Below are 15,812 nucleotides of genomic sequence, written 5' to 3'. Positions count from 1 at the left end.
AGAGAAAACCCAATATGTAGGCCTTGAAGTCTTACCTTTTAGTGTGGAATCAAGTGGTCCTCCATGCAAGATCACTGAGCTGCCCTGGGAAGGTACAAGAGACCTTGGAACTGAATGGACCTGTTCTTAGATCACTTCCAAACTCTGGTCAGCAGCCTTAGGTTTGATAAAGGCGGCACTTGGCATCTAGTACTCAAACAACTTTATTTCACTAGCCATGAGCAAAAAGTTGACCGGCTCCAGGGGATTTTCCATCCTGCCCTCTCCCTGCTGGTGGCTCCCATGATTTGGAAATAACCTCATGTTCCACTTGGCAGTGCCTGGCTTTGTGCACCCACATGGTTTTGGCCTGGGTCCCAGTGAAAATGGTCCTCACCTGGCTGGGGAACATGGTTCTGAGAGGCCCCTTGATCTGCCCTGGGGACATGTGTGGCCATGCTAAGGGCCCTGCCCACCTTCACGTGACTGGCCACCTCTGCCAGGGTGCAGGCAGCTCCTAGCATGGAGACATCCTTCATGGAAGTGAGCTTTCCCACCCACCTCCATACCCACATTTCTCAGAAACAGAGTTAACAGGGAACCAAGAGTCAAGAAGCCACAGGGCTGGTAACGTGCCTACAGCCAAATCTGTGACCATTACCTGAAGAGGCAGGACAACAAAAGTAATCAGGAAAGGAGAAGATGTGGGCTGGAATGAGATAGGACAAGAGAAGACAGAATAAAGGCAGGAAAATCAGAAACACCAGAGAGCACAGTAGCATTAAAGGGACACACCAACACCTGGGCTCTTGCACACAGGGGAGTCTAAGGGTTCCCTGACTCCCTGCACCTACACCTGAGGAGAGAATCCGAGTTATACGAGGACAGCATGGCAAAAGGGCCGACAGGGTAGTAGGTGTAGAGGCGAGGCAGGAGGCTACGTGAAGGGCTGCCAACAGAAACTGGAAAGGTAGGAGGCCACATCGTCTTTTCCCAAATCTCCATCTACGAGTTGCCTCAACTGTCCCCGTGATACTATATAGGTGCTTGCCCAACCACCTTTAGAGAAGCCTCAGCAAGCCTCCCTCAACTAGGACACAGAGAACCCTGGCTTTTCCTGTTCAGCCGGCCCCTCAAAGACGAGGGCAGTGCCCACTGCGGACTGGATGGCAACGGCGGCAGCGGTGCGGGCGCGCGTGTGGGCCCGCTGATGCTGTGACAGCGAGCGGCTGTGGCTGAAGCACTTGCCGCACTCTGCGCACTCCGCTGGCCGTTCGCCCAGGTGCGTCTTGCGGTGCAGTGCAAGCTTGGAGGCGACGCTGAAGGCCTTGCTGCACTCGGGGCATTTGTGTGGCTTGTGGCCGGCATGGTTGCGCCGATGCACGTTGAGATTGGACACGCACGTGAACCGCTTGCCGCACAGTTCGCAGCGGTAGGGCTTCTCGCCCGTGTGCGTGCGCCGGTGCTTGGTGAGGTCCGAGCGGTCGCTGAAGCGGCGGCCGCACTCGGGGCACGCGAAGGGCTTCTCGCCCGTGTGGATGCGCTGGTGCACCACCAGGTCGGAGCGCTGCCCGAAACCCTTGCCGCAAGTGGCGCACGCATGTGGCCGCTCGCCCTGATGGCTGCGCCGATGGCGCAGCAGCGTGGAACTCTCGCTGAAGCAGCGTCCACAGTCGCCACATGCGTACGGCTTCTCGCCCGTGTGTGTGCGCTGGTGGCGCACCAGCGTGGCGCTCTCCAGGAAGCCCTTGCCGCACTCCGGGCACTTGAAGGGTTTCTCCCCCGAGTGCGTCTGCAGGTGTCGCGTCAGCGTAGAGCTCTTGCCAAAGCACTTGCCGCACACGCCACACTGGTGGGCGTCTGAGACACGGGGTCGCGTGGGGCTCCGGGACACGTGGATGCGCGCGTGACTCCGCAGCCCGGCGCCGCTTCGGAAGGCTCGCGGGCACTGCGCGCAGCGGTGGGGTGGGGCAGCAGGGTCAGAGGTTGTCCCCAAGGGGTGCGCCCGCGCCTGGTGGAAGAGCAGCGCGCTCTGCCGGAAGGTGCGGGCGCACAGCGGGCAGCGGCGGGGCCGCTCTGGCAGATGCTGGCGGCGCCGGTGTAGCAGCAGCGCCGGGAGGTGCGGGAAGCGCCGGCCGCATGTGCGGCAGGGGCAAGTGCGGCATCGCTGCCGGTGTGCGCCCAAGTGTAGGTCAAGACGGCCGCTGTGGCGGAAGCTTTGTCCGCACTCACTGCAGATGTAGAGGGTCTGGCCAGCATGCGTGCGCCTGTGCGCTCGGAGGTCAGCAGCCCGTGCACAGCGCTCACCGCATTCTAGGCAACGGAAGCGGCCGTCACCGCCGTGAGCTCGTTCATGTCGCAGCAGCACTGAGCTGTAGCAGAAGCTCTTGCCACATTCGCTGCACGAGTAAGGCTTCCCCGCTGCCACTGCCCCAGATGTGGCAAACATGGTGAGGACGGGTTCACAGGGAAGCGTGCCACTCACACTCTGGGGTCCACCTCCTGACGCTGCAGCTAAGTTTTACTTCTCTTAAGGCCTGGAAAGGGCACTGTAACAGAGAGGAAAGGGGGAGGCCGCAAAAACTGGTCTGATTTCAGGGTTCTTCTCTAAGGGGCAGACATTGTGGCTGTTCCAGGGTGAGCTGTGGCCAGGTTCACCCTGCACCGTGAGCCTGTGGGGAGAAGGTCATTGTGAGCCTCTGCAGCAGCTCCTAAGGAATGGAGAGGGGAACACGAACTCCCTATTTGTTATAACTTCTTTAGGTAGTCCATCTCCAGGATTCCCTTCCCCAAGACAAAGCAAAGCCATGGGCATCCCGGAAATAGGGAGGGGGTGTCCTTGAACCACTTGGAAGGGCAGGAGGGAAACTACAAGTGTCCTGGAGAACAAACAGGAATGGATTCAAAGGGGAGCTTGCATTTAGCCTGGGAACCATCAACACTGCTCTGAGGGAAAGGAACGCCAAGCCTGTTCGCTGGCCTTAGATGGGGATCCTTGTCTGGGGATGCATTAGGAAATGACCAAGGCAGGATGGGGCAGTGAGAAGTCCCCTGCGTTTAGACTATACCAACGCCTTCCTCCAAAACCCAGCTTTCCTGAGTCACTGACATGAACCCAGCCAGACTTGGGCTGGAAGAACAAAGCGGGTAATGTGATGAAGCACAAACAGGTCCAGCAGCAACAGCCTAGGCAAAGGGCTCAGACCCTGAAGTTACTGAAGGGGCTGGGGCCTGGCCAAGGGAAGGTATTTGAGAAACCCCAAAATATTGTTCCTTGGCTTTGGACAGCACTTGATAAACACACTACCCCATGCCAGTATACAGCCCCAAAGTTGAGAAAGCAACTCAGGACCCAGTAAAGGGGTAAAAACGGGAGCATAGATAATTCACAAAAAACATTATTAAAAGTTGGTGGCATTATCCAAGAACACTTTTCCCATTTTCAGGAAAGGCTGGGGAGAATCAAGGGGCATCCATTCTATAATAATTGTCAGGATATCCAAGTTGTTTGTGAAGGTTTGAATATGATGAATCTGATCAAGAAAAACATATTGTTTATGAACATTCTGCAGCATTTCCTCACTGTCTCAGCCACAGGAATCTGAGAATCTGGAGTAGCAGAAAAACTCCTTTACGGAGACCAAATCTGCTCTATTATCCTATTTGTCTCACATGATATCCCTGAATTCTTCTGACAGGTTGCTCCGGGCAGCTGTCTGGGAACAGGGTCAGCCTTTGTAGTATGTGCACAGAACCTCACATGCCCTCTAGTCAAGAGCACAATGTGGCTGCCCTCCTCACCTGGCCTCAGCACTGACGACTTCTCTCAGGGGCCACAGGTCAGTCTCCAGCCTTACTGGAGATTAGGTCTAGTTGCTAGTACAGTATAGCCCCTTGTCGCTCAACAGATGCGGGAGAGGACACAAACAAAATGGTCAGCTGTCACTTTCTTCTTAGCAGATGAAAGTTCATCATAAATACTCAGAACTTTGGTTAAAATACCCCCATATACAGGGTCCTTATGTTTTGGATACAAATGGGGTAAAGTGAAAATAGCAAACCTGCAAGTCTGGGCTCTGGAGCTTCTGCTGCCCCACCACGCTGGGCAGGAGTAGCCGCATGGGATGTCCTCCTCTTGTGCCTCTGGAGTAAGATGTGCTGTGCCCAGTAGAGATAAAGTAAAAGGGAAAATGTGAATTACAACTGAGCAGGGGAAGAAAGGGAGGGAAATGTTTTCTGGAGGAGGGTATTTATTTAATGGACATTTTAAAATACGAAAACCTGAACAGTATCATAGATCAGTCACCATTTTACCATTCTTGTTTCATCCACACCCCCACTCCACTTTTTTTTTTGGTGGGGCAAAGCTCTAGAGTATTTTAAATCCCAGACATCTTATACAAAGAGTATGATTAGTATGATTTTTAAACAAAAAATGCAAGCAGGAGCTCTGGAGTAGACTTTCTGACAGTCTCGCCCTGTCGCCCAGGCTAGAGAGCAGTCACTCCATCTCGGCTCACTGCAACCTCTGCCTCTCGGATTCGAGGATTCTCCTTGCCTCAGCCTCCTGAGTACTGGGATTATAGGCACGTGACACTGTGTCTGGCTAATTTTTGTATTTTTAGTAGAGACGGGGTTTCACCATCTTGGCCAGGCTGGTTTTGAACTTCTGACCTCAGGTGATCCACCCGCTTTGGCCTCCCAGAGTGCTGGGATTACAGGCGTGAGCCATCACGCCCAGGCTGGAGTAGACTTTAGAGAGCTCCTTGGTTCCTCCAGAGGGACTTTCGACCCAGACACTGGCTGCTGATTCTAGTTAGATGTCAGGTCAGAGGAATGCTTGCCCTCCTGAAAATAAAAACTTCCTGGAGACTCAGTGGCTGATCCCAAATGCCAAAGAAAGCAATGCTCAGGCCCCACTGAGTGCTCTGCCTCCTCCTCGGGTATCTGGAGACCATGGCACCTCTCAAACCATGTGTCTAGGAGCCCACCCTCTCCCAGGCCACTGCCTCCCAGGGCACATGCCCAAGGAAGGCAAATGCACAAATACCAACGTGTAGACTTAAACGGCATATAAACAACAATACCATTTCCTTCCATTACGGATGCGGAGTAGGACACTCGCTAGGGTACAGGTTTGGCGCTTGAGTCCCAAGGCACGCTCTTCAAGTCTCTCTTCTGTACCTCACCCCATGCTGGAGCTCATCCCACAGGCAAAAGGGTCACGCTTGAAGTGGAAACCTGAAAGAAAAATTATTACTGTGCCAAAAAAAAAGACTGACTTCTAGATCATCCTAATCCCCACTCTCCTGATTGAGTGTGAGTTTTACAGTTGCTATACCACCAAATTTCTTTCACTTTGGAAAAAAAGTACAGGAAAGTTTGGAAAGAGGGAAGGGGGAAATTACGTGTGAATTGGTGAAAATTCTCATTGTTGAATAAAGTATATAAGTACCTTTCAAGCATTTAAAACAAATACTATACATATAACTAAAAAAACCCGAAACAAAACAGGTACTAAGAAGGAAGATAAGCTAATGGAAAAACCAATATCTATAATAGGGGCAAGATAAACTTCTGAGTTTCATATGTCATTTTTTTCCTTAATAATAATTGAAAAGAAAATAATTGAAAATCCTTATTTTCAATCAGAATAAAGATTTTTCTTCCCTGGTTATCTGTTCTGCCACGCCAGCATTTCTGGGGTGGGACAAAAGACCTCAAAAAGTCATGATTCACAAGAAACAAGCGGTCATCTTGAAGTCAGAGTTGGTAAACCTGGTTTGGGCAGCAGGGAATAGGGCTGAGGGGAACTGTTCCCTGCTATGCTGTCTACTACAGTGGCCCAGAGCCACATGTGGTGACTGAGCACTTGAAACATGGCTGGTTCAAACTGAGTTGATTTGTAAGAGCCAAATACTCTCCTCGTTTCAAAGACTTAGTATTAAAAAAGAATGCAAAATACCTCATTAATAATGTTTAGCATTGATTATATGTTGAAATATTTTTGGATATATTAGGTTAAATGAAATATATCACAATATATTTTACCCATTTTTAAAGAAAATTTAAGATTATAAATGTGGCTTATAGTTTATTTTTATTGAATAGTGCTTGTCCAAATGGCCTTTCCAAATCCTGGAACATTTGAAAGGAGGCTGGCCCACCTCAGTCCTTGGAGGGCTTTACCTGAGAAAAGGTCACTGACCCTGTCTGACCTTCAGAGCTTCAGTAAGCACAGAGGAGAGCTGTTCCTCTCATTTTCCAAGGCCCTAGTTCCTAGCTGCCCTCTCCAGAAAAGTCCACCTGCTGTTTTGGAAACTGGACACCTAGACCTGGTAGGGACTTGGGGTTGTGACTTACACAAAACCTTCTCTCACTGCGACTCTCAGAAGGTGAAACCATACATACCAGTTGTTACTGGTATTAACACACAAGAATTCTCACATGTTTGTACATGTGTTTCCCTTTCGTCCTCCCAGTAGTCCTTTGAGGTGGGTGTTATTAGTAACCCCCATGTGATCTGGGCTTCCTATACAGGCTCGTCCAGTCATCCAGCACAAGTGCGCAGGTGGGTCTAGGGACAGGAGTAAGTCAGCAGGCCACGTAGCCCATCTCTCAGTCTCCCTAGGGCAGCCCCGCCCCTTCCTAAAGGCCCCAGGAGGCTTGCAGCAGCTCAGTGAGCAGCAGGGACAGACCTGGCTGTGAAATTCACAGGGAAGCACCAGGCAGCCAGGGGACAAGGGGGTAAAATGCCAACCCCAAGAACCAGCACTTGGCGCCCCAGGGAGTGCTCTGTGTGCGCTGTGTTAATCGTGGGGCCCTGACCCAGGAATGGAATGGTCTCCATGAGAAGAGGGGCAGGAACTGGCAGTGGGAGGGTGGGAGTTGTAGCTGCATCAGGAGAGGTGATTCTTCTGCTGGCTTCTCCTTGTATTCTTACCCCTCAGGATCTGAGTGATGCTGCTGTCTCCAGGATTCTGTGATACCCCTAGACTGCCCTGAAATCCAGATGAGATAGAAGCAAACTATCCATTCCCCACTCTAGATAGGGTGTGGAGTAGAAGTTTCCCTGGCCTTCAGGAGGGAGTTTTGGGGCCTTGCCACTTACAATTCCTTCTACTGGCAAAGCTCTCTCACTCCTTCATTCAAGACTCTCTACCCTTTCTCAGAGAGGCCACCCCTGCCTCCACACCTCCCTCGTACTCATTGCTCAGCTTTATTCTCCCTGATCTCGGGTGCTGTGGCCACTCTGGGCTTCAGCGTGGGCTATCCTGTCTCAAAGGGACAGGATAAACTCCCACTATGTATGTTCTCTCCCTGTTCACATCCATACCTTCTCCACACTCCCCAGATTTCACAGGAAAATCTTTGTGAAACCAAAACTTTCAAAAGAATGTATCTGGATCACGATCAGACTTAGGCACTTGGGGTAGGAGCGAACTGTTATTCCTGTTTCCACCAGCTCCTTAGACATGTCCGACTGAATCTGAAGCTGGAAGGAGCATCTATTAGTCAGTGAATGTAACAGGAAGCAGGGATTCCTCTCCACTCTGGACAGACTTCAGCCCTATTCTAGGAGGTGCGGATGGGGAACGGAATTCAGAGCACCAGAATTGCCCCTCCTTGCTTCCTTCCCCCATAAAGAAACAAAATCCAATACTTCAAAAGAAGTTGCTCCTTCCAGCTTCAGATTCAGTCTCTAGCTAAGGAGCTGGTGGAAATAGGAATGACAGTTTGCTCTCAGCCCAAGTGCTCAAGTCTGATCATGAGCCAACACATTCTTTTTATTTTGGAGGCAGAGTCTCACTCTGTCTCCCAGGCTAAAGTGCAGTGGCGCCATCTCAGTGTGATCTCGGCTCACTGCAACCTCTGCCTCCGAGGTTCAAGCGATTCTTGCGCTTCAGCCTCCCAAGCAGCTGGGATTACAGGCTCGAGCTACCACAGCTAATTTTTGTATTTTTAGCAGACACGGGGTTTTGCCATGTTGCCCAGGCTGGTCTTGAACTCCTGGCCTCAGTTGATCCTCCTGCTTCAGCCTCCCAAAGTGCTGGCATTACAGGTGTGAGCCACCGTGCCGAGCCCAAATATATTCTTTTGAAAGTTTTGGTTTCACAAAGATTTTCCTGTGAAATCTGGGAAGTATAGAGAAGGTATGGATGTAGACAAGGAGAGAACATACATAGTGGGAGCTTGCCCTGTCCTTTTGAGACACAGGCAACAGGATGTAGGCAAGGAGAGAACATACATAGTGGGAGCTTGTCCTGTCCTTCTGAGACACAGGCAACAGGATGTAGACAAGGAGAGAACATACATAGTGGGAGCTTGTCCTGTCCTTCTGAGACACAGGCAACATTGAAGCCCAGAGTGGCCAGAGCCCCCCAGATCAGAGAGAAAGGACTATAAGGTCTTTCACACCTTCCCTGGGCCTAGCAAGGACTTGGGCACACAGAAGATACTCAGTGCTTTTTAAAAGTGATGTATTAGTCTGGAATCCAATTTTCCCAAATGTTAGGTCCCTGGAGGAAAGGGCCTGACTACAGTCATCATATCCTCCACAGCACTACCCACTGCATACAAATACTCTGACTACAGTCATCGTACCCTCCACAGCACTACCCACTGCACATACAAGTACTCTGACTACAGTCATCATATCCTCCACAGCACTGCCCACTGCACATACAAATACTCTGACTACAGTCATCGTACCCTGAACGGCACTGCCCACTGCACATACAAATACTATGACTACAGTCATCGTACCCTCCACAGCACTACCCACTGCACATACAAATACTCTGACTACAGTCATCATATCCTCCACAGCACTACCCACTGCATATACAAGTACTCTGACTGCAGTCATCATATCCTCCACAGCACTACCCACTGCACATACAAATACTCTGACTACAGTCATCGTACCCTGAACGGCACTGCCCACTGCACATACAAATACTATGACTACAGTCATCGTACCCTCCATGGCACTACCCACTGCATATACAAATACTCTGACTACAGTCATCATATCCTCCACAGCACTACCCACTGCATATACAAGTACTCTGACTGCAGTCATCATATCCTCCACAGCACTATCCACTGCACATACAAATACTCTGACTACAGTCATCATATCCTCCACAGCACTGTGCACTGCACATACAAATATTCTGCTTTGGTTTACTAGTTGAGCCTGCAACCTGTGTAGCAGAACCAGAGAGGCATCCAAATTCTGGTTCCTCCCATTACTAGCTGTCTGATCTTAGACAGTAGACTTGGAATGTCTGATCCTCCTGGATGGGAAAACTTTAGTAAAGAAAGTTGGCCAGGCACGGTGGCTCACGCCTGTAATCCTAGCACTTTGGGAGGCCGGGGTGGGCAGATCACCTGAGGTCAGGAGTTCGAGACCAGCCTGGCCAATATGGTGAAACCCCGTCTCTACTAAAAATACAAAAAAGTAGCCAGGCATGGTGGCACGCGCCTGTAGTATTGGCTAACTCGGGAGGCTGAAGCAGGAGAATCGCTTGAACCCGAGAAGCAGAGGTTGCAGTGAGCCGAGATAGTGCCACTGTACTCCAGCCTGGGCGACAGAGTGAGACTCCATCTCAAAAAAATAAATTAAAAAAAGCTATTATTATAGTGTTTCATATGGAAAGGTCAAAATATTGCTAAATCTTGCCGGGCATGGTGGCTCACGTCTGTAATCCCAGCACTTTGGGAGGCCAAGGCGGGCGGATCACTTGAGGTCAGGAGCTCGAGACCAGCCTGGCCAACACAGTGAAACCCTGTCTCTACGAAAAATACAAAAATCAGCCAGGTGTGGTGGCGCCCGTCTGTAGTCTCAGCTACTGGGAAGGGTGAGGTGGGAGGATCACTTGAGGCCAGGAGGCGGAGGTTGCAGCGAGCCGAGATCGCGCCACTGTACTCCAGCCTGGACGACAGAGCAAGACTCCGTCTCAAAAAAAAAAAAAAAAAAAAAAAATTGCTAACACTGAGAATTGCGGTTGCCCGGTGCTTAGGATTTACTCTGCCTAGGACAGTCCTTCTTGTTGTTGTTGTTTGTTTGTTTTTTGAGACAGGGTCTTGCTGTCACCCAGCTTGGAATGCAGTGATTTGATCACTGTCTCACTGCAGCCTCGCCCTCCTGGACTCAAGCAACCCTCCAGCCTCAGCCTCCTGCGGAGCTGGGACTATGAGCAGGTGCTACCACACCCGGCTAATTATTATTATCATTATTTTTTTTGTAGAGACGAGGGTTCTCACCATGTTGCCCAGGCTGGTCTTGAACTCCCGAGCTCAAGAGAGCCTCCCACTTTGGCCTCCCAAAGTGCTAGGATAACAGGCATGAGCCACTGTGCCCGGCCCTGGGCAGTTCTTAAGAGCGACTCTGAGTAAGGGGCTTAACTCCTGTCTCCACTCCAGGCATCCTAAACGGTCTGCAGCCGTTTTCAGTCCTTCCCCCTCAACCCCTAAGAATCCCTCACATGATTAGAACAGCACAGCATGGGCCTTCCATAGCTCCACTTGCGCGAACTGTGGGCTCCAAGATGAAAGAAGGGAAGCTGGCTACTCATCTGGGGACTTGGTGCCTGGTACTTAAGAGCGAAGCACAACTATTCGCCGAATGCGGAACACGGCACCTGAACAGGTCGCTTTCCGTGGCCCACAGCAGCGCAGCCAATCCTGGGGCGCCTCAGTCGGCGCGCGTCACAAGTTGCTGGGCAAACTTTCTTTGAGCGAGCCCCTTCCCAACCCCGAGCCTACCCTAGCCCCTTGCCCGTGGCGCCAGCCGACTTGGAGGGCGAGACCGGGCACCAAAAACGTAGTGGGGAACGTTTAACGCTGCCAGAACCCGGTGGCGGCCGTTGCCCCCTTAAGTCGGCTCAGCCTGGCGACGTTTGTCGTGGTGACGCCAGCCCCGAAAAGGTCACCCGAGGCGGACCAGCGAGGACAGGCGGAGGGGAAGGCCTGGGAGGAGCAGGCCGCGCGGACGTGTCCGGCCAATCGCTCGCCCCGCAGTATCCCCGCGTCACTCGCAGCCCGGGCGGCGCTCCCGACCGCCGCAGACACCAGTCGCCCGAGGCAGATGGGAGAAGACTAGCCACAGCTGAGGACTGCTGCCCCGAGCCACCCTTGCCCTCCCCTGCCCTTCAGTCCCCTCACCGGTCGCCGACTGCCTCCTCAGACACCGCGCGGTTCCCACTCAGCCGGCTGCCGACCCCCGCCTCCCGGACTGCGGGACTGGGGCGGGGGAGCGAGGAAGGGGCTAACGGCGCGCGCGGCCTCCGAGTGGGGGGAGCGGGGAGGCGCCCGAGCGTCCGGCCCCTCGGGATGGGGAGGTCACGCTCCTGTCCCTCTCGCCCGCGTCGGCTAGTGGTCAGTCTGGCGCGGGCAGTGTCACCGGTTGCTGGGAAGACTGGGAGGCCAGCGAGCAGCGTACCAACCACTCAGCCTCTCCGGCCCCAGCTGGAGCCGGGAAGCAGGCGGGGCTAAAAGAGAAAGCCTGCGGGGGGACTCCACTCCCGCCTCCCGCGCGGGCCAAGGCCCCGCCCTCTCTTCTGGCTTAACCAATTCCTGCCTCCCGCTTTGTCTGTTGGCCCACCCCTGGGCCTCGTCCCGCCCAATCAGAGGAAAGGGCGCCGATCCCTGCGCGCGCCTCAGCCCCCAGCCGCGGAGTCCCGGGAGCTAGGCGGTCCACCGTCTAGTCTTCCAGCAGCTCTTCCCGCGGCCGCTGGCGGGACACAGACAGGTGTACCCTTCGGTGCTTCCGGCGCGGTAGCCGGTGCCCGGCGCGGACGGGGCCGCGGCAGCCATCCCCGTAGTTAAGTTAGCGCCTTCTTATTAAGTGAGGCCAGACTGGATAGCTATTATCTCTCAACCCTCACCACAACCCTGCCAGGGGAAATATGAGCATTTATCCTGTATTTTAGGTAAGGACCCCACAAGTTAATGATACGCCCAAAGTCGCAATGCCAGGGATAGGGGTTACTCCTGGTCGGCTTGCCAGCTGCCTCTCCATGAGCTTCCTGGTTGAACTGCCTGTCCAAATGTTGACCCTAATGTCTTCTACTAGGAAATGCTACTAGTATTCCTTTCCGGAAATGCATTTTGGGAACCTGGCCATCCTTTAGTGTGCCTATATCATCAGAACAGACGCCCAGGGATGGCCCTCAAGGTCCTTTACTGCTGTAATCTTCCTTTGGAGGTCACTTAGTACCACTCTTCTGAGCTCTGCTCAGGGGGTCCCCTAATTAGTGTACTTCGACCTGCCATGCTTGGCCTGGAAAACTCTTACCCTCTTCTCTGTTTTAATTTGTAAAACCTTAGTCAAATGCCATCTCCATAAACCTATGCTAGAATGCCCCTCTCTGTCCTCAGTCCTGGGGACATATCTATGCTGCAGCGCAACCTCCCGCATGTTGATACTGTTGTTATAGTCAGATGAATACTGTTCCCCCATAGCTTAAGGGACAGGCCTTGTCCTACTCATGAACAATTGATCCCTTGAAGCATGAGCAGAGGGCCAGCACGCCACAGATGATCAATGAGTGTTTGCTGACCCGCATATGACAACACGGATTAAGGAAGACAAATCTGGTAGCAGCAGGCAAGAAAGCTGAAAAGCAAGACACAGGATGCAGGTCTGGAGTGATCAGGGCCTGAACCAGGAAGGGATAACATTGAGAGAGACATGGAAAATGCGCTTGAAGTATATATATTTTTATTGTAAAGAATCATACACAGATAAGGTAGTATTATATAGAGAATGATTAGTTGAGGATATTTCCAGAGTCTTTAAGCCAGAGAAATGTACTAATTTAGACATTTCTGGACTCATTGCTCAGTACTGATGTCATGTTTTTAAGGACACTGACACACTTGGCTAATCCCAGAGACATGAAGAGGATGGTGACTAGGGTGGTCACATAATTAAAGGGGCTGGGGATATTTAACCTAGAAAGAGAAACATTTTTTGTGCACATAATGACTGTACACAAATTCTAACAAACTTTCATGTGAAAGAGGACTGGATTAGATGACTTTCTTCTGTGTAGCTTTGGAGGGAAAAACTCAAACAATGGGGGGAAAGAACAGGAAGCTGGATTTAGGTTTCCTATGTTATGGAAGTCATCACAGTGGGGGATGATAATTGTAACAGGAAGATGGAGGGTAGTGAAAGAAAGTTCAAGGATGAAGTTATGTGTATATTTGTCAATTAAAAATATCACATCCAAATGGTTTTATTTCTCTACACATCTACATCAATAAATGACAACTCTTAATGTGGTTCTGTAAATACTCAAAATGTTTATGGAAGGTCTACTATATGCCAGGTAGTATTCTAGACGTTGGAGATAACAGCTGTGAACCTACCAGATGAATCTCCCCAAAGTTCTGATTGTATCACATTCCTGCTCAGTAATAGTCAAAAAAGTCTGTACAATCACCAAATGAAGTTTACTCTTCTGGTGTAATATTCAAGACCCTCTTTCACCTATTCCAACCTGTCTTTCCAGTCTGTTCTCTTAAACTCTCCATTAAACTGGATCACTCCCCACCTACCTTCTACGTTTCTCTCAGCTTGGCATACACTTCTCCTGTTCCTTCACTTTTTCTTGTCTACCAAAGTCCTACTTATCCTTCAGACTTCTGTTCAAACACCAACCCACTCTCAAAGTGAAAACTATCTTCTTTCTGAAGACCACTAGTATTGTTCACCCAGAAATTCCCTAAGTATTTATTATCTTTGCAAGCCACAAGATGCATAAGACACTTACTCTGTTATTTACATCCTTTACCATGTACTTCAAGATAGAGTGTTGCTCTGTCACGCAGGCTGGAGTGCAGTGGCATGATCTCGGCCCACTGAAGCCGCTTCCCAGGTTCAAGTGATTCTTGTGTGTCAGCATCCCAAAGAGCTGGGACTACAGGCACGCACCAACATGCCTGGCTAATTTTTGTAATTTTAGTACACATGGGGTTTCACCATGTTGCTCAGGCTGGTCTTGAACTCCTGGCCTCAAGTGATCTGCTGTGTTCGGCCTCCAAAAGTGCTAGGATTACAGGCAAGAGCCAACATGCCTGGCCACCATGTACTTTAGAATAATGTGCATACTTTATTTCTCCTACTAAATTATAAGCTTGAGGGCAGAGTCAGAGGCTGGATGCACATTTCTGAACACCTGCTATGTGCAAAGAAATGGGCTGAGTATCGGAGACAAAATGGAGACTGAGTCCTTTGAGGACATGCTGAGGGATGGCAACCGCTCCCCCCGCCCACAGACCTTGCCATCCCATCATGTGCAAAGTACAAAGTGGTATAAAGGTACAACAGGAAGAATAGGGTAATTCTGCAATAGGTCATCAGTAAACTTCATTGGCTCAGCATGTAGCCAAGATTTTGTATAGGGATCTGTGGATGGAGGTGACAATGATTTTCACCTCCCACCACACACCCCCAGTGGCAGATTTCTGCAATATAAGTGATGGGACTGGGTCAGGCAGAGGGATTAGATGAACAGGAAGGGAGTGAGCATGCACTCAATCCAGACTGAGTGAGTGGAGGAGGCTCAGAATCCTGTGGAAGATGCTGAGTGGGGTGGGACAGGAATTCAAGAAGGTAGAGTGGGTGAAGGTATTGGAAGAGGAAATGCAAATAAGTTTTGGGCTAAATCAAGGAATTCCTCCTTTTCAGAAGCTTTTATTGAGGACCCACTGAGTCTGCACCTGGCTGGGTAATAGAAATATAGAGATGAATAAATTATGTTCCTTTACAGTATAGAGTCTATCCCATACCCAAGGGTGTAGGCCTCCCTCAGTGAGAAGAGGAGGAGCCATGGTGTATCAGGATTTGTAAAGACTAGGAAGTTAGAGGCGAATACGCGAAGCCGTGGGCGTGGATGACATTTCTAAGAGGCTATAGGTGGATTAGTAGGGGCTGAAGGCACCATACCTAGAGCACCAGCCTCCAAAAGGAAGCAGCTGCAGAAGGGGAAGCCAGTAAAGGCTTTGGGGAGGAAGAAGGTCAGGACACGGTCAGGTTTTAGATTCCCATGTGAGGAAGTGGTGGACAATGTCCAATGCTGAAGTAAGTCAAACAGCATCAAGGTGGTTATGTTTGGCTAGAGGGCACTGTCAGTGGTTTATGAAGTGAGACAGAAAGGAAGGGAAGTAAAAGTTATAGGCATGCAGAGCAGGCACATAGTACATGGCTTACGTTGCTGTTGGGGGCAACTGAAAGGCAAGTAAGTAGGGCTAAGGTATAGACCACTATTTCAAATCCCTGTCTGAAATGTGAGCCCAGTGGATATTCACAATGCCAAAAATCAGATGCTGAAGGCTTACTGTGTTACTGGGGGTATAAGGACTGAGAAGACTGTTTCAATTTCATGAATCTTATTCCTGTATTGCTAAATACAATGTTTGCCATTCTTCAAACATTCTAATTTCAGTTACAATAAAAATATTGGCTTCTAGAGCATGGTAGCTTCCAGTTCTTCCCCGAATAATTCCACAGATGTCAACTGACACAGTTTTCAAATACAGGAAAGAACCAAGTACAGAAAAGTGAAATCTAACAATTTAGAATAATAAGATCTGGAAAGACTGGCTGACTAAATCCTGAAATGAAGATTTTATTTAGTGTTTAAGGAATAAGGGTTTGTATTAATTGCAAGTTGCAAACATATTGTAAAGCCATATCAAAATGGATTTCAGGAAACAAGAAGATAAGCAAAAACATAAATTGAATCAATAACACACATATTAATCTTAATGGCTTGACACAGAGGATTTAATGTCTTTTAAACAGTAATCTTAATAGA

At 50.2% G+C, this 15,812-nt stretch overlaps 1 protein-coding gene across 3 annotated transcripts, besides 6 other annotated features; it reads right to left on the bottom strand.

The window, feature by feature from the left end:
• Positions 1-185: 185 nt before the first annotated feature.
• On the bottom strand, positions 186-11,479 carry ZNF672 (zinc finger protein 672). 3 transcript variants are annotated; one of them, XM_047430823.1, is made up of 4 exons: positions 11,152-11,479; positions 5,067-5,220; positions 4,041-4,137; positions 186-3,512 (listed from the first exon to the last, which is right to left on the bottom strand). In XM_047430823.1, the coding sequence occupies exon 4, from the start codon at positions 2,426-2,428 to the stop codon at positions 1,070-1,072; it is 1,359 nt and encodes a 452-aa protein (XP_047286779.1). In that variant the 5' UTR covers positions 2,429-3,512; positions 4,041-4,137; positions 5,067-5,220; positions 11,152-11,479; the 3' UTR covers positions 186-1,069. The 3 variants fall into 3 exon arrangements, with proteins under 3 accessions (XP_047286779.1, NP_079112.1, XP_005270393.1); NM_024836.3 differs by having other exon boundaries at positions 186-2,651; XM_005270336.3 differs by having other exon boundaries at positions 186-2,528.
• Positions 6,886-6,935: an enhancer, noted in NCBI's record as "active region_2881". NCBI's record gives its function as "activates an Ori minimal core promoter by ATAC-STARR-seq in GM12878 lymphoblastoid cells {active_cell/tissue: GM12878}" and the evidence as "EXISTENCE:reporter gene assay evidence [ECO:0000049][PMID:35858748]".
• Positions 10,157-10,236: an enhancer, noted in NCBI's record as "active region_2880". NCBI's record gives its function as "activates an Ori minimal core promoter by ATAC-STARR-seq in GM12878 lymphoblastoid cells {active_cell/tissue: GM12878}" and the evidence as "EXISTENCE:reporter gene assay evidence [ECO:0000049][PMID:35858748]".
• Positions 10,544-11,043: an enhancer, noted in NCBI's record as "H3K27ac hESC enhancer chr1:249132859-249133358 (GRCh37/hg19 assembly coordinates)". NCBI's record gives its function as "activates a minimal SCP1, AML or CMV promoter by ChIP-STARR-seq in naive and primed H9 embryonic stem cells {active_cell/tissue: H9 hESC(naive and primed)}" and the evidence as "EXISTENCE:reporter gene assay evidence [ECO:0000049][PMID:30033119]".
• Positions 10,577-10,846: an enhancer, noted in NCBI's record as "active region_2879". NCBI's record gives its function as "activates an Ori minimal core promoter by ATAC-STARR-seq in GM12878 lymphoblastoid cells {active_cell/tissue: GM12878}" and the evidence as "EXISTENCE:reporter gene assay evidence [ECO:0000049][PMID:35858748]".
• Positions 11,044-11,545: an enhancer, noted in NCBI's record as "H3K27ac hESC enhancer chr1:249132357-249132858 (GRCh37/hg19 assembly coordinates)". NCBI's record gives its function as "activates a minimal SCP1, AML or CMV promoter by ChIP-STARR-seq in naive and primed H9 embryonic stem cells {active_cell/tissue: H9 hESC(naive and primed)}" and the evidence as "EXISTENCE:reporter gene assay evidence [ECO:0000049][PMID:30033119]".
• Positions 11,137-11,536: a silencer, noted in NCBI's record as "silent region_2050". NCBI's record gives its function as "represses an Ori minimal core promoter by ATAC-STARR-seq in GM12878 lymphoblastoid cells {active_cell/tissue: GM12878}" and the evidence as "EXISTENCE:reporter gene assay evidence [ECO:0000049][PMID:35858748]".

The sequence above is a fragment of the Homo sapiens genome, chromosome 1, assembly GCF_000001405.40.
Source record: "Homo sapiens chromosome 1, GRCh38.p14 Primary Assembly".
In the NCBI taxonomy this organism is placed as follows: Eukaryota; Metazoa; Chordata; class Mammalia; order Primates; family Hominidae; genus Homo; species Homo sapiens.
The sequence above is the reverse complement of the archived record's forward strand: the minus strand, read 5'-3'. Positions and strand labels throughout refer to the sequence as shown.

Bases quoted from the DNA above. Each gene is read 5' to 3' on its own strand.
- ZNF672 (XM_047430823.1), bottom strand. From the start codon at position 2,428: ATGTTTGCCACATCTGGGGCAGTGGCAGCGGGGAAGCCTTACTCGTGC.